Below are 24,838 nucleotides of genomic sequence, written 5' to 3'. Positions count from 1 at the left end.
TGGTTTTTTCAGTTTTTTTCATGAATATTGACAATTTTTTAGGTGTATAAGTCTTTATATTTTTATTTTAAAAAAATCTAAATAACCTATTATATGACAATGTTTTTATCATTGACAATTTTTCTTGTTATGTAATCTTCTATGTCTTAAATAAAAATAGCTGCTTCAGCTTTCCTATTATTAGTGTTAGCATTGCATATCTTTCTGGATTCTCTTACTTTTAACCCAAGTCTTTATATTCAAAGTGGTTCACCTGTAGAAAGCATATATTTGGCTCATTTTTGTTTCTCTTTTTACCTAGTTTGACAATCTGTCTCTTTTGACTATTTAGGATATGTACATTTAAAGTGATTATTAATATAGTTGGTCTATTATCTACCTTGTTCTAAACTGCCTCTTATTAGTTGTGTTTGTCTTTTGTTTCTTTTTCTTTCCCTCTTTTACTACCTTCTCTAGCTTTAAATGTACACTGTATATGATTATCTTTCCTCTCTTTGGTATCATCAATCATACTTCTGTAATAAATGAGTGGTTGCCTTAGAGTTTATAGTATACATTAAAAAAATCTTAGTACACAGTAAAAACACAATAATAATGTGCATGAATTATAAGAAACTTTAGTATTCTTTTCCCTATATTCCCCTGTGATATTTCTGTCAGTCATGTCACTTATCTTCATGCCATAATCACACAATATGTTGTTAACATTATTGCTTCAACTAAACATATATCCTTCAGATCAATTAAGAATAAGAAAAAGAAGAGATGTTATTTTACTTTTGTTAATATTTGTCAGCTCTCTTCCTTTATATAGATTTGAGTTTCTGACTATATTATTTTTGTCCTGCCTGAATAATCTCTTTCTTTACTTTTCTTTTTAGGACACATACACTAGCAATCAAACGTTTTTTCTCAGAAAATTGATTTGTCCTTCCCTTTTGAAAGGTAATTTATTTGCCTGGAATGCTATTTTCTGAAATTGTTTATTTCAACACTTTGAATAGTTCACTATGCTCTGTTCTTATTTACACACTTTATGGCAATAAGCCAGCTGTGATTCTTATCCTTCTTCCTCTGTAGATGGATGATTGCATAACCTCTGAATATTTTCAAGATTTTCCTTTTATCTTTAGTTTTCTGCAGTGAAGATATGATCTTTTTTTTCATACTTATCCTACTTGCTGTTCTCTGAGTTTTCTCGATCTGTGGTTTGGTTTCAGAAATTAACTTAAAAAATTTCTTGGTCATTTTCACTTCAAATGTTTCTTCTGCTTTGTTATTTCTTTCTTCTCTTTCCTCCTTTCTCCTTCCTCCCTTCTCATTATGCATATAATACATTTTTGATACTGTGTAATGATTCTTGAATCTCCTAGGTTTTTACATTTTTATTTATTTTTTCCTTTACATACCATTTTGGGAATTTTTTTATTGATCTATTACATCTTCAGGCTCACTGATTCTTTCTTTCTTCTTCGCCTCCTTTTTTTTTTATTTTTTTATTTTTTGATGGAGTCTTGCTCTGTCATCCAGGCTGGAGTACAGTGGCGCGATCTCGGATCACTGCGACCTCTGTCTCCCAGGCTCAAGCGATTTTCCTGTCTCAGCCTCCCAAGTAGCTGGGATTACAGGCACACGCCATCAGGCCTGGCTAATTTTTTTTTTTTTTTTTTTTTGTATTTTAGTAGATACGTGGTTTCACCATGTTGCCCAGGCTGGTCTTAAACTCCTGAGCTCAGGCAATCCACCTGCCTTGGCCTCCCAAAGTGCTGGGATTACAGGCATGAGCCACCGCACCCAACTGATTCTTTCTTAAGCCTTGTCAAGGCTACTGATGAGCCCATTGAAGGCATTCTTCATCTCTGCTTAGAGATTTTCACTTCTATCACTTTCTTTTTATTCTTCCTTAGACTTTCCATCTCTCTGCTTAAGTCATCCATCTGTTATTGCATGTTGTCTATTTTTCTAATACAGCCCTTAACATTCATCTCAGTTGTTTTAAATATTTTGTCTCATGATTTCAACAGCTATGTCTTATCTAAGTCTTGTTTTCATCATGGAGTTGTCTTCCCAAATTGTTTTTTTCTCTTGTTTTTCTTTATGCCTTAGATATTATTGTTGAAATCCATACATGCTGCACAAGACAACAGGAAGTGAAGTAATTTGACACATAATGTGATGAGGTATGTAAATTTAGCCAGAGATTTTGCTCTGTTTAATGCTTGTTAAAGATATAGGTAAGGATTTAAGATCTTTCTAGTGTTCATATTTTTATTTTTTCTCTTGCGTTTTCATATGTACTCTTCTTGTAGAATTTGTTTCTTTAATCTTTTAAAATATGTAATTCACTGTTATATTGAAGCCTTGTTGGTTTGGTGGTGAGATGTATGGTAGGGGAAATATTCTATATTCTTTTAAGTCCCAGTCTTTTAGAGACCTTTGTTTTGGTTCCCTTAATTTCACAAGTATTCTGTCAATGCTCTCCCTTTCCCCTCCCCTGTACCATACTATTTTTTTCCAGTAAGAATGTTCTATTTCTGTTTTCTTGAAGTCTGGAACCTTATTGTCTGTAATTTTGTTTAACCTTCCCCCCTTAGGTAAGCTAGAATAGCAGGAGAAGCTTTGTGTGAAGAGGAGATTCATTCTCCCAGCTAGGATAAAATTTCTGAATTGCTCTCTTGTAAAGCCCTTTTCCCTGGAGATTACTCATATATTCTGGAGAAGGCACTAGGCACTGTTCACAATAGTCACTCTTCTTCCTATGCCAGAGAGAAGAAGTGATCTTTCTTGGATCCCATCAAAACCTATGACTTCCTGGAGGGGAAGCCTATGAAACTATGAAGATACAAATAAGAATCTAGGCATTTTTCATTCATGCCAGTTCATACCAAGTCTCCAGAATTAATTTAAATTACCATTTACATGCACCCAGCAGTTTATAGTTACAGGAACTTTGGCCCTAGATAAGCAGATCTCAGTTGCTCCATTTCTTTAAGTAAGACTGTCTTTCTAGATTTCAGAGTGGTAGTTTGCTGTATGACCTGTTCTATGATGAATCCAAGAAAAGAAGTAACCACTTTTTAATTTGTCTAGCTTTTCTTTTCTTTTTTTTTTTTTTTTTTTTTTGAAATGGAGTCTTGCTCTGTCACCCAGGCTGGAGTGCAGTGCTGTGTTCTCGGCTCACTGCAACCTCTGCCTCCCGGGTTCACACCATTCTCCTGCCTCAGCCTCCCGAGTAGCTGGGACTACAGGCACCCGGCACCATGCCCAGCTAATTTTTTATATTTTTAGTAGAGACGGGGTTTCACAGTGTTAGCCAGGATGGTCTCGATCTCCTGACCTTGTGATCTGCCCGCCTCGGCCTCTGTCTTTTTTTGTATTAAGGACAGGAGTGATGACTTTCAAATGTTTTCTCTGAGACCTAAAATCATAATAATGAATTTAGCACCACCTGTACTTACAGTGAACATGCTAGGTACTCCAAATTCCAGAGTCTTTCTGGGTTTCTCTTGATCAAAGTAGTTTTTAATCTTGATTTCTTCCACCTGGCACATAGTTTTCACTCTTGAACTTTCTAGTTTGATTTCTATGCATCAACCTACTTTGCGTTTTCAAAAATTGTTGATATTCTTGTTATCTCATATTTCTTAGTACATGAGGATTTATGCTTTTTATTCTTCCTTCAGTATCATTTTAGTGACATTTCAATAGTAAACATTAGTCAAAATGTGTCTTTTCTTCCATATTTTGTGAATGTACTTCATTCCCATGTTTTAATTTGTTCCAAGTATATTTATGAAGTACATACTGTATGTAAAGCACCGTGTTATGTTGGGACATATGTGTTAATAAAATTTAGTTTCTGGCCTTATAACCTTAATAGTCTTTTGAGGACAAATGGATGAGGAAATGTGTAAATATTATGTTGAATAAAATGGACTATAATATTTAAAACATGTTCTTTTTATTTTGAGTACCCTGATTGGGCTACTTCTTTTCTCAGTACCATATAAACTATTAATCTGGTTTCACAGATTTTTCAGTCATACAATTCTTTTCATAGCTATCATGGATTTCAGGTATATTGCCAATTCTGTTTTCACCGATAAGAATGATATGCTTCCTACAGTTGGCCCTAGATTTTTAACTCTCATCAATTAAGATACACCACAAACTAGGCTGGGTGTGGTGGCTCACGCCTGTAAACCCAAGACTTTGGGAGTCCAAGGTGGGTGCATCGCTTGAGATCAGGAGTTTGAGACCAGCCTGGCCAACATAGTGAAACCTCATCTCTAGTAAATAAAGTACAAAAAAATTAGCCTGGCGTGGTTGCACACACCTGTAATCCCAGTTATTCAGGAGGTTGAGGCAGGAGAATGGCTTGAACCTGGGAGGTGGAGGTTGCAGTAAGCCTAGATTTTGCCACTGCACTCCAGCCTGGGCAGCAAAGCAAGACTCCATCTCAAACAAACAAATGAACAAACAAAAACAAAACAAAAACAAACTCACAAACTAAATAGAAAATTATTATGTCTTTTTAAAAATTAATTAAAAACTACTATGAGCCATTAGGGTCTGTGTCAGTTGCAGGAAGCTGCCTTACCAAAGGTTCCACTCTTCTGGGTCAGCCTGCATCTGATTACTGAGTGACACAAGAATATTGAGATTCTGCCATTGTACAGGTGTAAGATAATCCCGATGAGAAATAGTCACCAGAACTCCCTGTAAGTTGGCCAAGGCTTTGAATCGCAGTTTGATTTCTCTTCACCCAATCATGCCTCTTCTGCTTCATTTCAAAGGTGTTGTTTCCTAATAGCTATCTTATACCTAAAACTCAGCATCTCAGTGTCTGCTGAGAAGCCAACATGTGACAATAATGAAAGTCAACCCAAAACAAAAAGTCTAAATATTTATTTACATAACGTTCTCTTTTTAGCACAATTTGCTTTTGTAAAACAGTTCCCTTCTCTTTTATTGTTACAGAATCTCCTCTACCATGAAGGGACAGATGAACTCTGTGGCTGGTGACAAGAGTATTTATGCAATAGGAAAAAGGTCAGTTCTGTCAAACTTATGTTATTTCACTTGTGTTTGCTTTATAAATAGTGTCATCAAATCACAGTTCCTTAACTAAAATCTATGTAAGGCATTTTAAACTTTGTGTTGGTTTAATAGCTAAGTTTGAGCAAAAATGATCCAAGGTTTGATTTAACTGGGCACACATACACTTGAGCATTCAACAGAATAATGGCACCAAAGTTAATTGTCCATGAGGATTTCTATTGGCTCCAGGTAATAGAGGCAGAGAACATGAGAAGTGTCACTTGGACTAGGGCTTACATGGGGACACTGATCTCAGTATGTACCCTCGATTTCCTCCTTTTTAATATAAAACATTTGCAAATAAAAGTTGTAACATTTCTTTCTACACCATATTTAAATGTTTTGCATATCCCATGGCATGTATTCATTTCCAGTTGAACGCTAGTAACTCGATAAAAGGTTCATCCAGAAGAAAATTTTGCCTTATTCGCTATTTTTAGTTCCTTGCATAATACCTAACACAAAATGATAGTATCTGAGACAAAATGATGGCATCTGATGCAAAATGTATAGATTCATAATGTATACATATATGTGTATATGTATGCATGGGCATACAAATGTATATACATTATATACAATTAATACTATTGAAAAATAATGAAGGAAGAAATTGCAAAAATAATTGTGATTTGTAGATCATGAAAGGATTCATCAAACATTTTTTAAATATATAATTTATTCTGAGGGAAAATGGAAATTAATATCAACTTCCTATAAGCTTTTTCTTAAAGTTTTCAGCTCCTTCAGAACCACCCCCCTTCCTTTCTATCCATCCATATTAATAAGCCTCTTAGACTTGATGTCATCCATACTTTATATGCTTATCACCCACACTTCTATGAAAACTTTGTAAGCCACACCATTTAATTAACTTTCATAACCTTAGTGCCTAGCAAAGAGCCTGGAATGTAATAACATCTCATAATGATGTTGATGACTAGAATTTAATCTATTGTAAAACATTTGGAGGTAAATTATATCATATATGCTATATATGTTCTAGTAACTGTGTAACTTTTTTTCTCAAGCAAGAAAAAATAATTATAAAGATATTAAATATTTTGGCTAAAATAAAAAGTATAAAATCAAACTCATATAATGCTGCAAAGTGTATGGATTTAATAGATTATTATTTTTCTCAGCAACTATGAATAAAAGCAAAGTAAGAAAACACAAAAGAATGTTATTGCTTTCTGCTGTATTTGTGCAATATTATGTTTTTCCTATACGATTGAATAATTTGTGACAATGAAAATCTATTGTAAGATTTTTGTTAAGTAGCATTATTTCTCCGAGTTTTTTGAAACTGTTAGCATGGTGTTTCCCTTTGCTTCATTTTACTTCCAGAATCAAACTAAGATTTGGAAAAGAAAGTTAAATTGAAAATAAATAAATAAGTGAAAAGAATTTTTAAGATTCATTGGAAAAATAACTCCTTGGAAGCATTAACTGTTTTAAGCTTACTATACTAGCAAACTACCTGTTTGCCTTTCTCTTAACTTTCCTCTCGTCCTTCAGGATCAGTTATTTACTTAATCATATTCTACAGTGTGTGTTTATTGTTTACATATGCATAAGTAACTTTGTTATTTTCTTTCTCTTTTTTTTGATGGCCACTATCCTTGGGTGATCTAAATATAGATATTTGAAAATGAGCCCTATTTTCTCACTAGCTGATAAGTTCTTTGTGAATAATTGAGACCCTGAAACTACCTCAGATGTGGAGAGGCTGTAATTTACTAAGGACACTCTCATATTGCTCATGTGTAAATTGAAACACATTGAATGTGGAAGCAATCATCATCATAATATGATTGTTATAAAAAATCATTACCTTTCATGCTGGAAATGTCAATTAAATGTCAGTTTGGAAAATGAAGAAATCCAACATGGGCTCTAAATACATGCAGCTTAATTCACTTATTTTAGATGAATTGACATTCTACTAACCAGCCGTCATCTTGTCACTAAATATTTTCTTGATTGAATAAAATGAGTGGAATAGGCACAATTTATCAACTAAACTACTTCAGTTATTCATTTTTTCCCTGAATTTGAAAGACCAGCTGTGAAAACGGCATCAATAACAACAGTGAAAGTAGAATTTGAATACAAAAAAGTGTGTTTTCAGGAGTCCTCTAATCTAGTTATGCATAGTAATAAGATTTAGCTATTTTTGAACTTTGCTTACATAAAATTCATATTTATAACTTTTTTTGCCTAGTAAAGTGTAGGAGAAAAAGTTCCCCAAGCTGTTACATGAACCAATGTCAAGAGAAAATGAAGAATGCTTATTATTGAAATTCTTTTGTTAACTCTCTAGGAATATTTTGATTTTGAAAGGCAAGTTGAATCTAGTGACTCATTAAATAAGGAAGCATGCAAATAATTTCACAGCAATGAGGTAAGAAGTTATTGTCTACTTTCTAATACATAGTCCCTTAAATATTGTATAAGGCTTTCAAAAGTTATATCTTCATAGCCTTTCCTGCAGGAAATAAACATATCTCCCAAAGAAGTCCAGTCTGGTACAGTATTTAATGAAGCAAATAAGACTCTATTGCTTGCAATTTCAGTGGAGACACATTCAGGGCTCTGGAGTGGAGCGATAACACAGTACCATAACAAGTATTGTCATGAGTTCTTACAGCTACAAGCAATTTAACTAAAGGAAATCACATGCTTTACAACTAGTCTGTCTCACAACTAGAATCTAAATCCCATGTGGCCTCACCACTCATACTAATTAGTCCATCTCATGAAACTGAAGGTTACAAAAGTTGTCACAGTTTTTTAAGATACCAAGATTTAGAGCACTGTGAAGAGAGGGCATAATCATTAGTGTTATATTTCAAACTGTCTGTATTTTTTTGTCATATTTCCCCAAGATAAAGCCCCCAGTTTTTGCTCTTACCCAAAGTCACTAAAAACTGCTCTAGAAAAAAATCACATAACTGTGAAGAACTATGCTATTTTGAAGTCAGAGTAGACACCAAGAGTCTCTTAAAACTAATTTTTAATGTCCAGTCATCAGATTGATTCATCCCACATTAGAGGGAGTGAATGTTGAATTATTTCACCAATTTTCTCAAAATGTTTATGTCTTCTTTATCCCTGGCCTCATCGTCAAATTCACAGGTGTCATTGAGGCTGGTAAGCATGATTTCTGTGAGCTTATGATATCTGTCAGCCTATCCCTATGGGAGTCTCTATAATCTCACAAACTTTGTCCTTCCTTTTCCCTCAATTCAGCGTTCTCAAACATTATTGTGCAACAATATTCTACCTGGAGACAATTTTAAAAAATAGAATGTTACCCCACAACCCCAGAGTTTCTTATTCAATAAACCGAGGAGGAGCTAGACATTTTTCTTTTCTAAAAGTTCCTAAGGAGGTGCTGATGCTACTGTTTGGAGAACATTTTGGGAACCACAGGTCTAAGAAAAAGAGATGACTTTCTTCCTACCCAAGTTTAATATCACTAATTGCTCTACATGGCAACCCATTTTTATGTTAGTTTAATTGTTTCCTCTTATTTTTATTCAATTTATTCTTCACAATATAATCATATTCGAATCACTCTCATTCTGAAGACCGTTCACAGCCCTGTTTGTTAAGCTAGGGGTTATCTTTTCTTAAGTCACAAATAAGCTTATTTAAATTGGAAGTTTTTGTTTAATATTTCCACTTTAGTGCCTGATTCTCACATCTCAGTGAAGCTCATTCTTGCCTCTTCTTTATAGATTCAACAATTACTTCTGTAGGTAAGTAAAAGTAATAGATTTTTCTTACCCTTCACAAGATTCATGGCTGACACTTCCATAACAAATGACAGATTGACAAAAGGGGACATACAAATTTATTTAACATAAGCTTTGCATCTTCAGAAATGAAGGCTGAAAGAAACAGGAAACCCTATATATTTTTATGCTAAGTTTGATGAAGTGTGGGCAGTTGTGCAGAAGTATGATTGGGTGAAGGGGCTGCAATCTAATGGTAATAAATGAGGGGAACTTAGCAAAACCTGTTTGTTCAGATACTTCTTAGTATCCTCGGAGATATATTCCTTTTTCTCTGGTTATAGGTTCTTCTCTCACATGAAGATTTTATAACCTACTTCAGAGGAAGGTCGGATAAGTGTTTTAGGGCCTGCTTCAGGAGAGAAGGACAGGAGAAGAGCAGAGAGACCTTGTTTCTTCTGCTGTTTTTTCAAGTGCCAGGGTGCTATATTTTGGAATAGCATGTACTGAAAGTTATCATTTCCTGATTATTGTATTTAAAAACAAAATCACGAGCACAACAACATTCAACAATATTCTGACTTCTCCCTCTTCTTGAATCTTTCTTTATCTTGGCTTCTACACCAGTGCTCATGGCTCACCATATTCCTCTCTGCTTGTTTTTCCATCTCTTATCTGCAACTGCAATTCACCCTTTCTGCCTTTCTGGTCAGTTTCACCATGGTTCTCTCATTATCATTTTTACCATCATTTTACACCCACTGGTTGGATTAGCTCATTCACGTCCACACGTTTAGCAGTCTTCTTAATCTGAAATCTGCCTCTGCAGTCTAGAGCCCTCTCCTGAGGTTCAGATCAGGACAACCAAATTCCTATTTGACATAATCACCCAAAAGTTTCACAGGATTCTCAACGCTTATGAGAATGGAAGAAGATAAGTAATTTTGCCTCTGTATACCAATCATTTAATATTTTAAAACATTCATTGAAAGCATCTCCACGTAACCAGTTATGCAACCAGAAATTTAGGACTTGGTCTGTTCTCTAGAACATGTAATCAGTCAACAAAACTTCCCATTGCTGCCTCAATTCTTGCAACAGTTTGGCTCCTAACTTCAACTTCCTTCAGATCACACTGCTCTATTGCCACCAGCACAATCCCTTTGAAACAAAACTCTAATTTTCTTTTCACTCTAATGTGTAAAATATTTTCTAAGAGCTCAGCTTCAAAATGAGATTCAAAAGGTCTGGCTTCATGTCTAAACTTAATACCTGTCTGCTTTTCACTTAGAGTATATATCCTTGCCTACCAATGTTATTGCAGTTCACTAAAGACAATGTGCTACTTTTTCCATCATTGCATCAACACTAACTGGAATCTCTCACATTATTTTGTAAGCTACATTGACATTTCCTTTGTGAAAGTTTCCTCCCCCCATAACAGTCTTTAAATATTCTTTTGGAAATAGTGTACCATTTGGTAATTTTTTTAAAAGTTGGATTATTCTCCTGGATTTATTTCCCTATGTCAATAATTTGGACTTAGTATTTTGTATACTTACAGATTCTACTGGAGTGCTTGGTACCTAATAGTTGCTAAATAGATGCTTATAAGAGTGAAATTAATTTAAATAACAGAGTTTGGACCATTTGAAAATAAAAGAGACACAAAAACTACTTCTTGTGGCTTCCAAGAAAAATAAATACACTGTCAACATAAAGACCTGATGGAAATGTTCACAGCAGTTTTATTCATAATAACAAAAAATTAGAAACAAAGCACTCATCAACTTGTAAATAATTAAAAACAGATGATGCAACATTACTAAGCATTAGAGAATAAACTATTATTGATAAACATAACAACGTGGATGCAACTTATAAAATGATGATTATTTAAAAACTAGGAATAAAATAATACTCACTCTATGATACCATTTACATTAAATCCCAGAACAGAATAACTGATTTATAGAGACAGACAATAGAGGATTGTTGACTTGGGCCCAGGGCCGTGAAGAAGAGATTGGCAATAAGGGAAACTTTTCACAGTGATATAAATGCTTTGTATCTTAATTGTGGTGATAAATATATAGATGCATTCATCTGTCAAACCCATTACACTGTGCACATAAAACTGACTCATTTCACTGCATGTAAATAATAATAACTTTTATTTAAAATAACTAGCCTTTTTTGTAGTTCATATGTAAACCTAGTTTTAGATTAGGTCTGTCAAGCTCAAATTCCATTAAAGATAAGTCAAGAAACATACGTACATGGAGATCCAAGTGAAATCTAATATGAAGTGATAGGAATTGTGTTAAATTGGAGATTTCATGCTGCATCTAAAAACTTCCAAACTTAAACATTATTAAATATTTATCTAGCCAATAAAAACACATCTCCTTGACAGAGTCAGTCCACAAACACTGGTTAGCAATTCTTGCATTAGAGAAAATAATAGTTTTTCCAAGATCAAGCCGAAAAAAAAAAAGTGAGGTAGAGAATTAATTTAATTTATCTCAATGAAGACAAAAGGTAAATTTTACCTTTTGGCAATTCTTCCAGTAAAATAGTTCTGCTATCAGTTGACCTGATGAGATTAATGGTGAGTCCAAACATATAAACCATTCTCTGGAAAGATATTGCTAGACAATGTGAGGTGAATTAATTATTTCAGTGTATAAAATAAACTTTAGAAGGTCTGCAAGTGTGTGTGTGTCGAAGGAGAGGATGTGAGCGGGTGAAGAGAGAGAGAGGAAGGGAAAGAGAGGAGATACACCTATACTTTTACACTAAGGACACAAAAATATGTAAATGGACTTTTGCAAAAAATCATTGTCATAAAAATTTAATTTAGCTTGTGAAACTCTAAAGAGACTCACATCTTTCCTGATTTAACCACAATTGAGGTAGTCATCAGTGTCGATCTTATCGAAATTTCTTTACAGAAGGCCATACGAGTTTACTAAATCTGAATTTCCTGATGATAGAAAGAAGAATCTTGGGTAAAATTGACATTTTACCATGAAGTTAATGTCCATCAGTTCAGAAATATATGACTGGTTATCAAGATGTACACAAAAACATGAAGTTCAGATTTTCAAGCTCTAGCCAGAGTCAGGAGCAACAGAGTGTATATTACAGAACAGAATCTCATATAAGAACAGAATAAACCTGTGGAGACAGATCATCCATGGAAAAGCAGAGTGCCACAGAAGTCTGCTCTAGGTGTACGTTTCTTTGTGAGTCTTCCTCATTAGCCTATCTAGCTGTAGATTGGTGAAGCTTTGACTGTGCATCAGCCTCACATGGAGATCTTTTGCAAATATGAATATGTCACAGAATCTCTTCAGAATTGCTAAGTCTGCATTTTCTCCAGTGACATTCAGATCTCTTCACTATTCCTTCTTAAAAATCCCCCTTATGATTCCAGTGTCCTCACACATTTGCGAAGCTCTTACTAAGCTTCCCCTCACCCACTCTGCCTATTCCTTTGCCCTATCTTGACCGAGATGAGTATCTTAGCTACATATTTAATTATTAATCCCATGTTAAGTTTAATAAAGCATTATGGTTAATTCTATATTAAGTGGATGAATATAAAGTATTACTCCCAGAATTTAAAGGGCAGATACTTAATAACTGCACCTGTCTATAAATAGTCAAGAGACCGGAGATTAGTGTTAACCTTCTATTCTCCATTCCTTCTGCAACTATTTCAGTAGTATCCTCATTGCTTCTCACCAGGGATATTGTTTAGTTACTTAATTTGTGCCCCGGTCTCCATTTTCTTACTTTTCTAATTCATCCTACGTATTCTTGTCAAATTAATTTCCTAAAATAATAATTCTAGGCACAGTTCTGTTCAAAATCTTTGTCTGCTAACCAAAATAACAAAAGTTATTCAAATCCTCTAATACCAAGTCTAAATCCATATTTTCAGTTTAATATCTGTCTGCTCATATTCATGTAATCTTCCCAACCAAGTTAAACAGCCTCATGGTTTTCTGATTCTGTGCTTTAAATAAATACTGCTATTGTTTCTTGAATATCTGTTTCTTCACCAATTTAACTACTTCTCCAAGGGAAGCAGTGTTTTTAGCCTTACTACACTGTTCTTTTCTTGTTTGAATGGGTAGTCTCTCATAAAGGTAATTTCTCAAAACAAGAAACGAATATTCTCTTTGTGTCCCATCTCTCACTGATACCATGTCAAGAGCTACAATAAAATTCTAGCATGCCTTCATTGTAAAACGCAGTCTAGAAAAAAAATTCACAAGCAGAAGACATTCACACCAAAAAAGCCTCAATATAGTCACACAAATGTAGGGAATCTGAGAATATGTGAGCAATACCAACCACCACCACCAAAAATCCAGAGAAATATATTTTAAAGTGGTGTTAATGTGTTAACATAGTTTCATATACGAGCATGTCTACATTTGGAATGCTTACTTGAAAACTGAATATTATGTTCACATTTAGTTTAGCTGTTTCATGAAAACTGGGACTAATTATTGACCCTACTTAAAATAAGTTGAGGTGCCAGATAATCTCTGACAAAATGCAGGCAAAATAATCTAATGAATTAGGAAAGTAAGGAATTCATTATGTTATACTGTATATTCACCCTCAAATAATATCTCTTTAAAGTACTCTGAAGTATCTTTCAACAAATATTTTACCTGTAGATTTGTGACAAAAGCCTCAGCATTTTGAAATGCTCTTTATTGATTGGTCTTTCTTGGATGAAGTGCTCTGGAGAACTCAATTTATGCTCACTTTATATAGGATTTCTGGTCTTGGTAGAATTTTTAAAAAATACAGAGGTTTTGAGGGTAGCAGAAGGATTAATATTGTGACAAATTCTACCTCTGGAATAAGTCAGCCTTCTATTTCTAAATTTCAGTTTAGTGATTAGGGATCTAAATATCTTACTGTTTTACAGAATGCCACCTTTATGAAGGGACCATGCCGGTTTTTACTGGGAAAAGTAACGAGTAATCTAAACACAGTGTTACTCCACATATACACCAGAGAACAAGAGCTCAGTTCCATGAATAGAGCAGACTCCACTATCTCCATGAAATTTTGGGATGCAAGGTGCTATGTAAGTGTGAAGCCACTACCAAGTTATTCTCGTCTTAATAAAGGACAAGTTGATTTACTTTGTTACCCCACCAATAAAATACCGGAATAAGACTTGATATGCTCTTTTGAGTCAACTTCGTGCATTATTGCCTTAGCAATGAAAGCAAAGCAAATGACACAGATTTGAGTGAAGACCAGAACATGTTATGGCTATCAGCTGGTCAAGTATAGAGTAGTTATCTCTGTGATTCTACTGTGGGGTCCCTGGAAATCCAAAACTTCTTGAAGAGGTTGGTGGATTCTCAGGATGCTTTGTGGATCCTGTCGCCACACTCAAATAGAAGAATCACAATAGAAACTCAAAATTTCAGGACATAGTTGTCCTCTTTTAAGGAAATGATTGCTGTTTTGGCTTGGAGGATACTGATGGAGTCTGTAACTTCAGACCTTTTATCAATATCGACATACCCTGAAGCAACTCAAAAATGAACAACCTACAGAAAATTATCTGATATCTTCGACTTACAACCATACCAAGTCCTGCCACAAACTCATACTTTTACCTTCTCATGGTGTTCCCTATGCAGACTGAGTGATAAGGAAATGATCTAACCTATTTATAAATCCCTCCGCTCTATGCCTGCACCAGCTGCCAAGTAGGCTGCTGTTGACCTCACAGAGGTAGTCATGGATGTCTCAGACAAAAAATGAAACAAATAGTAATATACTAGGATTTAAGCACTTGAGGGAGTATGAAAAAGATAATTCATTTCTCCTCAATATTGGTATTTCTGTTTCAAGCAACAGAAATTCAATTGCATTTTACTCTGTATGTGTACACGATTATCTGTTTGTTTCTGCAATATCAAATTCCTATCCAAGGTGACCAGATTCTGTTGTGAAAAGACACTGAACTATTGTATAAATGAAGGTTTTTACTTTGTTTTATGTACCTTTCTGTACTGTTTGAATTTCGAATCATGTATAGCCATTTCTTTATGTCAACAGCAGTTATATGAATGGTGATTTGTAAGACATTTGAAATTTATTTTTTAAATAATTCTCTCGACTAAAACCACTGAATGCTGTTAAAAACAAAAATAATAGAACATCTTAGAATTGTGGAGGTAAAATGGAGGAGAGGTGAAGAGGATGTAGGAGTTATGGGTACTACATGAAATGAATCAAGGAAGGCACCTATATTATAGAAGCTATAAATGTAAGACTATTATTAAAAATAATAACACAATAAAAATAAGATGTAATGGAAAGTAGGAGAAGATGTATCTAAATTGAGGTAAAAGTATATGTTCTTGTTATTTAAAAAAATCATTTTATCATCTTAAAAAAATGAAGCACGAAGCACATAAAATCTTTATGCTCAGAGCAAAGATTGTCAACTGGGGGAGAAAATTTTGCCGTCAAGGGACAGTGGCAATGTTTAGGGACATTTTTTATTATCATGTCTTGAAGGAAAGGATTGATCTTAATGGCACCTATTGGTTAGGTGGCAGCGGATCCTGCAAAAAAAAATCTTACAACACACAAGTGTGCTCTGCACAAAAATGACCAACCAGTTCAAAATCTCAGTGATGCCAAGGTTTAGAAAGCCTATTATAGACAAGAATGTTGGAATAGTTGCAAAATAGTACAAGGCAGACTATCATTTTTGGTTTATTTGCAATGTTAGAATTTTTATGTTATTTTCCTCTATTATTTTATATTTATTTTTTGTTAAAGACTCATTATATTTCTGAAAAATTGTGAAAACACATTCAGATCTACACATGTAGATAAAATTTTCATTTGAAGAAAATCTCACAAGAATCCAAGATTATAATTAAATAAATGCATACCTAAAGAGGCAAAAATCAAGTTGGCCTCAGAGTTATCCTTCAATGATCTTGCAATTATTCTCTACAGTATTAAAGCCTAGAAGATAAGTTCCCTATATCAACTGCATTTTAAGGAGAAAAGTTTGAATCCCAAAAATTTACTTTCCATCTTATTAGTTGTTCATATGTGTATTAGTTCATTTTCAGACTGCTATAAAGAAACCCAAGACTGATAATTTTATAAATGAAAGAGGTTTAATTGACTCACAGTTCTGCATGGTTGGGGAGGCCTCAGGAAACTTATAATCATGGCAGAAAGGAAAGAAGCACATGGGAGCACACGAAATGGAGAATGTGAAGGACAGAGACCCTTATAAAACTATCATATCTCATGAGAACTCACTCACTATCACGAGAACAGCATGAGGGAAACTGCCCCCATGATCCAGTCACTTCCCACTAGGTCCCTCCCTTTACATGTGGATATTAAAATTCAAGATGAGGTTGAGGTGGGACCACAGAGCCAAATCATGTCAGTATGCAAAATTAATATAATTGGATTCTTGGGTTTCACTGGATGTTCTGGTTTCGTGCCCTGGTTGTAAAATTAAATATGACTACACTTATCAAGCATTTTGCTTATGACTCCAAAAATAGAACTCAAAAATATGATTTTAACAATTGAATTAAGTTAATGTTGATATTTACTGCAATTAGTAAATAATTATTCAACTTACAATATGAAATAATTTTAAAAGGTTAAAATTATATTAGAAATAATGTGAAATAATCTCTCTCTCTCTTTTTTTCTTTTTTGAGACGGGGTCTTGCTTTGTCACCCAAGCTGGAGTGCAGTGGCACAATCTCGGCTCCCTTCAGCCTCTGCTTCCCAGGTTCATGCGCTTCTCCTGCCTCAGTCTCCCAAGTATCTGGGAATACAGGCCACCCACCACCAGGCCTGGCTCATTTTTATATTTTTTTTAGTAGAGACAGAGTTTCACTGATTTGGCCAGGCTTGTCTCAAACTCCTGGCCTCAAGTGAACCTCCTGGCTCGGCCTCCCAAAGTGCAGGGATTACAGACATGAGCCACTGTGCCGAGTCAATAATCTTTCATTTTTTAAACTGAATTAAATATCATTGAGATTCGATGTACAGGAATGAGAAAAAGACTAAATCCCTTGAAGATGAAATGTGACAAATATGGCTACAGCTGTATTATAGATTTTATATATATATATTATATATATGTATATATAGGTATATGTATTTTTATATACATATGTATATATGTATATATTATATAATATATTTATATGTACAATATATAAATACACATTTATTATATTATATATATTGTATAGTTATTATATAAGATCATCAAAAAACAAAAGGCAGTGTGGAAATGTATGTAATAAGTGACAAAATGTGTCTTTCCCTGTCAGTTCACAGTTTCTTTCATACCTCTAAAAGTTGAAGACAATGAGTGAACGTACTCTGTTCATTCTAAAGAGAGGTGACAGACACTGCCACTGTGTTTATTTAAAGATGACAAAATTGTACCAGTCAATCCCATTTTGCGCTTCTAGAAGATTTCTTAGTAGACACACCATGACCTTGGAGGAGAGTTCAGGGGAGTAGACAGACCCATGGCTTTATGCTTCTGTTGTTGAGGTCCTTCTTCTGCTCTATGGACCCTGAAAGCAGGTGTCAAGGATGTTACTTACACATATGGGGACATCTGGCTTCTTTCCTGGTTGACACTTGCTGAGCTGGAGATTATCATAAGCTCACCAAATGCTCCCACCAGGAGTCAAAATAATTTGGGGGAAAGCATGATATGATATTTGTTCCAGGAGTTTTCTGGGGTCGGACTGCCGAGATAGAAGTGGGTGCTTTGTGTCAAGAGAAACCTGAGTGTTGGATGCCATCTGAAACAGCCCATAATAGTAGGAACAGGAGAGAGCGGTGGTAGTAGGAGCAGCCAGCATTTACAGACTGTAGCTTGGCAGTGATACCTGAGTTGTCTCTTGGGCTGAGAAGACAAGCTTTGACATAGCTGGGTGAAGACATCCACCTAACAAGATGGGGAGACCCTGGAAGAGAACTGATGGGATAAAGAGACCAAAAGTCCTTGCAAAAAAAAAAAAAAAAAAAAAAAAAGCATATGGGATGAGTTGTGGGAATGGTGAGACTCTAAAACTCCTGAAAATAGTAATACATGTAGCATGTGGGTACCTGTCATTACAGTGCATGCTCATAGCCAAACGAGAGTTGCAAATAGCGCCAGCTGAGTACAGTCATGCTACTATGGTTTTTACTTCCCCTTAGTCAAATCTGACCTCGGAAGAACCAGATATTAGAAAAAGAGATAAAATATGTAAGACTGAACCACTCCCTATTCTGCCACTGAAAATCCTCGGACTCTGGAGCCTGCTTGAGTGAAGGGAAGGAGAGAATGTTTACATGCAATACATTATGTGAAAGGTAGAGTACAAACCAGAGCAAATTATTTAAGCCCAGAACAAAATAAAAAGATTATTCAAAAACTGAAAACATCTGAAAAATATTAGGACACTAGGATAAAACAAAAGTTTGACTGTAAATCAGGTGTTTTGTTAGCTTGGCTTTTGCTGCAAGGGTGAGTGTGGATATATACTGGGGAGGGTATGCATAGGTATGCACATGCAATGGTAATTAAGTTAAAATTTCAACTAACACTACAAGTAGAAAAATAAAGGCCAAAATGAGGTTTCAGACAAAGATTTATCACTTAAACAGCAATGCTGAGATGTCATATAGTGACGCAGAAAACCACTTTCCTATAAAGACTCATCAGTTAGAGGCTCTGTGCTCACCAACAATATGGCATAAGCCAGGAGCAATTGCCTTTCATTCCTGGGGTTGTCAGAAGGTCTCAGTGGGACATCCTCTAAATAACACTATGAAAGCACTCACAAGAGAATGGGTTAGCTGTAAACTTACATCAGCCCTAGATAGTGCAATGCTATCTTGCAAAAGGTCTGCTCAGATAAGAAATTTCAGCTCTCATTCTTCCTAGTGTATCTTTATGTACCAACCTCATAGAGATAGGAAAATACATACTGCCACAGGGGGAAAGAGGTTCTCAATTTAGAAAGTGGTTACTCATCCTCTTGCTTCCTAAAGTTTCTCATCTGTTCAGCAAAGATTCAATTACTAAATTAAATTGGTTTTCAAAATGGGCAAAGGAATAACATCCACATAAGAGCTGGATGGAAATAATAACATATGAAGATTACATAGTATGCATTCTGATGTTTCCAAATACTAACCTTGTGTCTCTGTGTGTGTTTGTGTGTGTGTGTGAGAGAGAGAGAGAGAGGGAGAGAGAGAGCATGTGTGTATGAAGAGAGAGAGGGAAAGAGAGACAGAGAAATTAGAGTCCCTGTTTTCATAGAGTTTAATGTCTATTAAGGAAGAAAGATGTGGGGGAAAATATTTGTTGAGATAATTAATGATTAGTTCTTAAAGCTACAGTACAGGGAAATCTTTATGGCTTGCTGATCAAATCTAGCACAACACTTGCTTTTGTAAATAAAGTTTTGTTGGAACACAACTGTGCTCATTCATTGATGCATTGTCTATGGCTGCTTTCAAAGCCCAAAGGCAGACATGAGGAGTTGTGACAGAGTCTCATTGTCTGGCAAAGGCTAAATTATTTACTGTCTGTTCATTTATAGGGAAATTACTGATTCTCCTTCTTCATGAGATTAAAAGAAAGAAGAGATTCCAGGTTCAAGCTGTGAGTTTAATATGTGCATATAATTTCACTCCCTCTAAAATTTCACTAAAACGACTAAGGAAAACATAATTAAAAAGAAAGAGAAGCATAAAATTAAGGAGGCAAGCAGGACAGAGGAACATGTAACAAATCAATGAAATATTGGGAGCTGGAAAACAGATGGTCAAGTGGTAACAGAATTAACAGAACAAAGAATGCTGAATTCTACGCAGGAAATGAGGATAGTTGAGAAACTGATAAATGTTTTATATTGCAGCATTCTCAAAAGGCTCAGAAAATGGTAGCAACAGGAATGAGGGGAAATGACAATGATAATGCTTGACTGGACAGAATGACAAGATAATAAAGAATGTGATCCTAATATGAAAAGTTCTCTGTAAAGGTCACTGTATTAAAAAAATGTCTATCCTGATAATGGGAATTCTTGTGTCTTTGAAAGCTACACAAACAATTAGTATTGAGGCTGCATTTGGGGAGAAAAACTAAGTCTATGAGGGAAAAGAGTGTATTTTTACTGGTTTGACCCTTTGTATTGCTTTTTTTTTCCATGAGCGTTTGTATATTGTGAATCAAAAACAAGTGATATAAAAAACACATTCCCAAAGGATTTTATTTTTAAATAAGAAATACTTTTACTACTGTGCTCTAAGATACAAACACAATCCTGATATTATTTTTCTGGGTTCCTTGATGAAGAGAAACAATAGATTTTATTTTGCACAGTTGAAATCACAAGACATAAGATTCCCAGAAGTCAACAAATGTCTCCCCTTTCCCCCCATCTCCAAACACACATACTTCACTGCCAAACTCTGTTCTAAAATGGCTCAGGGAGAGAAGTAAGCAAGTCTGGCTCTGGGAGATGAGATAATGACACTTAACTGGCAAGACGGATGATTAATTTCTTTCCTATGACCAGAAAAGGTAAGTGAGTTTCACATTTTCCCATATGTAAGGACCAATGCATCTGTGTCTAGCACTGCTCATTCCATGGTGGATAACTGTAGAGACAGGTGGAAGATAGATAGTTACTTAATACCAAGGCCTTGGGCACACCAGGAAAGGTATTCATTTCTGTCCCAGTCTCTGGTCAGAAGTGGCTGTCAGTGAGTGATGCCTTTGAGCGCATCTGGAAATTCAGTATCTCATCCAAACTTTGTACTTTCTTGGAGGTATTCTCTAAAAGCCTCAGTAGGAAATAGAAGCATTGTATTTTTTGCTCTAGAAAAATAATTTTACATTTCTTACATTTGAATATTATGAGGCAAAGCTAACAGTAAATTAAGCATATATATGTATATATGAAAACATATAATTAATGCTATAAACAGTATTATAATATAGCAATATATTTTAAAAGCAAAAATACTGGACTCTGATAGAGTCTGAAAAGTTACAGAAGGTTTTCCTGAATCATGACCTTAGAATCAATATGTTAAGGATGAGTTGGAATTAGGTATGAATGGAGAATTAAAACAGGCAGAATTATTTGTTCTATAGAAAACAACGTGTGTAAATTCGTTAAGTCAGAAGACAACATGAAAATTTTGGAGATCTCAAAGAAGATCCATATACCTGAAGTAGGAACAAAGAGGGAAATAATGACTTTTGCCTGGACAGAAACCCAGTAGCTATAGTCAAAACCTATGGGTAACGTGAAGGATTTTTCTCTTTATCGCAAAAGCAGTAGAAGCCATTAAAGCCATTGAAGGTTTTAAACAATAGAATTACATGATTTAAATAATATTTTTAAAGTATCTCCTGAGAAAATTGAGAATGGGTTACAACAGGAAAGGTGTGAAAAGTGTGTATCATTTACAGAGTACTGTCATAGATCAAGTAAGAGATTGTGATAATAAGGCTTAAGGTGGTGAGAGGGCTGTGAAGAAGCGGAGATATTGGTCTGAGCGGGGTGGCTCACCCCTATAATCCTAGCACTTTGGGAGGACCAGGTGGGTGGATCTCTTGAGCCCAGGAGTTCAAGATCAGCCTGGGCAACACAGAGAGACCCTGTCTCTATAAAATAAAAAAGAAAAGAAAAAGGAAAAACAGAAAAATTACCCAGGCCTTGTGGGGCATGCCTATAGTCCCAGCTACTCTGGAGGCTGAGGTGGAAGGATTGCTTGAGACCTGGAGGCAGCAGCTACAGTTAGCTGAGATCTTGCAATTGCATTCCAGCTTGTACAACAGAGCAAGACCTTGTCTCAAAAGAAAGACAAATGAGATATGGAAGACATATTAAAGAGGCAAAAACGATATATAAATATATACACACACACATATACACACATATTTACATACACATATATTTATACACACATATATGTGTGTGTATATATATGTGTGTGTGTGTATACATGTATATTTCACTTAAGGGAGAAGGAGTGTAATAAAGTAGACTTCTAGGATTCAGACTTGGAAAGGGAAAAGATGACAGTGAAATTCCCAAAATAGGGACTATCTAGGAACATTTATTGAGCAAATACATTATGAGTGCTGGGGAATGCTGGGTAGATAGAAAAGTCACAGGCCTTACCTCTACAGTATTAAAAACAAAAAATAAAATGAGAAACATTTGTGTGATAGGTTTTATTACAATACAGGTACTGAGACACCATATTTCAAGGAGGCGGGAAAGCCTTGTCTACAAAGTAATGTTACGTAGAGGCCTGAAAGAAGTAGTTATATGAAAAGTTTGGGAAACTGCTACAGGAAGAGAGGATGGACAGCACGTACACAGTCCTGAATAGAAACGACAATGTAAAACTGAAATAAATATATAATCTAAGCTAGGTATCAGAGAAAGAGAAGAAAAGCCATGAGAGAGAAAAACAGAAATGCTGTAAAATGTAGACAAATATCTTAGTCTCAAAGAGACTACAAAAGTGCTTAAAGTAAGTCATATTTGAAAAAATAGATACGCATTTATAATAAGAACTCTAAATATAAGACCTTACAGCTGGTCGGTGTATATTATGAATACAACTGGATGGATTGAATGCTGCACAACCATAAAATATATTATTGTGTATGCATAATAAAAAATGTTTTTACATAAATACAAATATATGAATATTATAATTAACAAGTCTTTATGCGTGATTATTTTCATTATACTTTTTTAATTTTTTTATTCATTTATTCATTTTTTTTGAGACAGAGTTTCACTCTTGTTGTACAGGCTGTAGTGCAATGGTGCGATCTCAGCTCACTGCAACTTTCACCTCCCAGGTTCAAGTGATTTTCCTGCCTCAGCCATCCAAGTAGCTGGGATTGCAGGCGCCTGCCACCATACCTGCTAATGTTTGTATTATTTTAGTAGAGATGGAGTTTCACCATGTTGACCAGGTTGGTCTTGAACTCCTGACCTCAGGTGATCCTCCTGCCTCGGCCTCCCAAAATGCTGGGACTACAGGCATGAGCCACCGTGCCCAGACTTTTTGTAATATATTTTTAAATTTCTATGTTAAATTTATGCTATTTTTAATAGTCATTACAACAAATATCAAAAAAGAGGTTGAAAGTTTCCAATAGGATTCAGAACACTTTATAATATGATAACTGAAATAAGAGTATTTTCTTTTTTGTTTAAGAAGAAGCTTCAGTTGCTATTAGGAATTGAGTGTGCTGTATCCTCCAGAAAGATATGTAGAAGCCCTAACCCTCAGAACCTGAGAATATGACCTCATTTAGAAATGGGGTTGCTGCAAATGTAATTACTTAAGATGAGGCCACACTGGAGTGTGGTAAGCACTAAATCCCATATGACTGGTGTCCTTGAAAAAAAAAGAGAGACGGCTGGGTGTGGTGGCTCACGCCCATAATCCCAGCACTTTGGGAGGCTGAGGTGGGTGGCTCACCTGAGGTCAGGAATTCGAGACCAGCCTGGCCAACATGATGAAACCCCATCTCTCCTAAAACTACAACAATTTAGCCGGGCATGGTGGCATGCACCTGTAATCCCATCTACTCGGGAGGCTGAGGCAGGAGAATCACTTGAACCCAGGAGGCGGTTGCTGTGGTGAGCTCAGATCGCACCACTGCACTACAGCCTGGGCAACAAGAGCAAAACTCAGTCTCCAAAAAAACAAAAAAAGGAAAAAAAAAAAAAAAGAAAAAGAAGAGAGACAAAAGACATGCACAGAAGGAAGACAACATGAATAGTCACGTAAGGTGAGAATGCTATGTGATAACAGAAGCCGAATTTGGAGTGATGCAGCTACAAGCTCAGTAATGAACACATTAGATTAGCAACTACCACTGAAAACAAGGGAAGGGCAAGAATAATTCTATTCTTCCACTATTCTGTACACTTCTAGCAGCGTCTCTGAGGTCATGACTCTCCTGACACTTTGAATTTGGACTTCTAGTATCCAAAACTTTAAAATAATAAATTCTGGTTTTTTTTTTTTCATGCCATCCTTGTTTGTCGTACTAAGTTGAAATCCTCTTAGGAAACCTACACTGTTACCTGGAAAATTAGCTTAAATGACCTAGTTTGTTAATTAACAAAAATCAACTAACTGAAGAGTCACCCTTGCTTAGGTAGCCTATTTAATTTGTGTCCAGATTTTGATTGAATCAGAAAGAACATTATTCTCTCATATGTGTGTACTTGAGTCTATCTGTTTCGTGTGTTTGTGGATTTGTGTGTTTGTGAAGAAATGGAACAGAGGCAGGGATCAGAAACAGGGAAGCACATGTCTCTTTCTGTTTTCTGTTGAGGCTTCATGAAAGATTTTTATGTCTTCTATTTATGTAGAAAGGTAGACTAGAATATTTCAGATATTTTTAAATCACACTGGCAATGATGGTATGAGAACCATACCCTACATATCTGATTTATAGTCACCAAAAGCTCAGCTTTACAGGTCTTTGAAACATGGACTGGTTTCAAGATTTACTGATCAAAACATAAAGAAATGCAATCATATTCAAGATGAGAACTGTCTCTGTGACAAATCAAATGGCCTCTATTTCACAGTCATTCAAAGACTTCCGACCAAACTCTCAGATTATTTCCCTTGCAAGTTTGAAGATAATTTAGCCAAGGAAAATGAATGCTTTTAAGCTTCACTGCTTTACTACAATTAAATTTTTGCTGACAGTAGTGTGTGATCACTTTTTTACCTCTTTAATAAACACCAAGTGGAGCAAACAGAATTACTTCCCTAAACCTCTTTGGTAAAGTGATGATAATGGATCCAATCCCTTAATCAGGATACTGTATGTAATAAAACAAAACTATTTTTTCTCTTTCTACATATACTCCTTTGCTCTC

The 24,838-nt window shown here is 35.3% G+C and overlaps 1 long non-coding RNA gene across 1 annotated transcript, besides 1 other annotated feature; it reads left to right on the top strand.

Annotated features, from left to right (window-relative positions):
* The first annotated feature begins 880 nt into the window (after positions 1-880).
* Positions 881-13,965, top strand: LOC105374706 (uncharacterized). Its single transcript, XR_925890.1, has 5 exons — positions 881-945; positions 2,107-2,180; positions 4,981-5,052; positions 7,427-7,507; positions 13,798-13,965. It is a non-coding gene; the product is annotated as an uncharacterized LOC105374706 (long non-coding RNA).
* Positions 18,428-18,929: an enhancer, noted in NCBI's record as "NANOG hESC enhancer chr5:29984274-29984775 (GRCh37/hg19 assembly coordinates)". NCBI's record gives its function as "activates a minimal SCP1, AML or CMV promoter by ChIP-STARR-seq in naive H9 embryonic stem cells {active_cell/tissue: H9 hESC(naive)}" and the evidence as "EXISTENCE:reporter gene assay evidence [ECO:0000049][PMID:30033119]".

Source organism: Homo sapiens, chromosome 5 (genome assembly GCF_000001405.40).
Source record: "Homo sapiens chromosome 5, GRCh38.p14 Primary Assembly".
NCBI lineage: Eukaryota > Metazoa > Chordata > Mammalia > Primates > Hominidae > Homo > Homo sapiens.
This window is presented reverse-complemented; position numbering and strand designations above follow the sequence as displayed.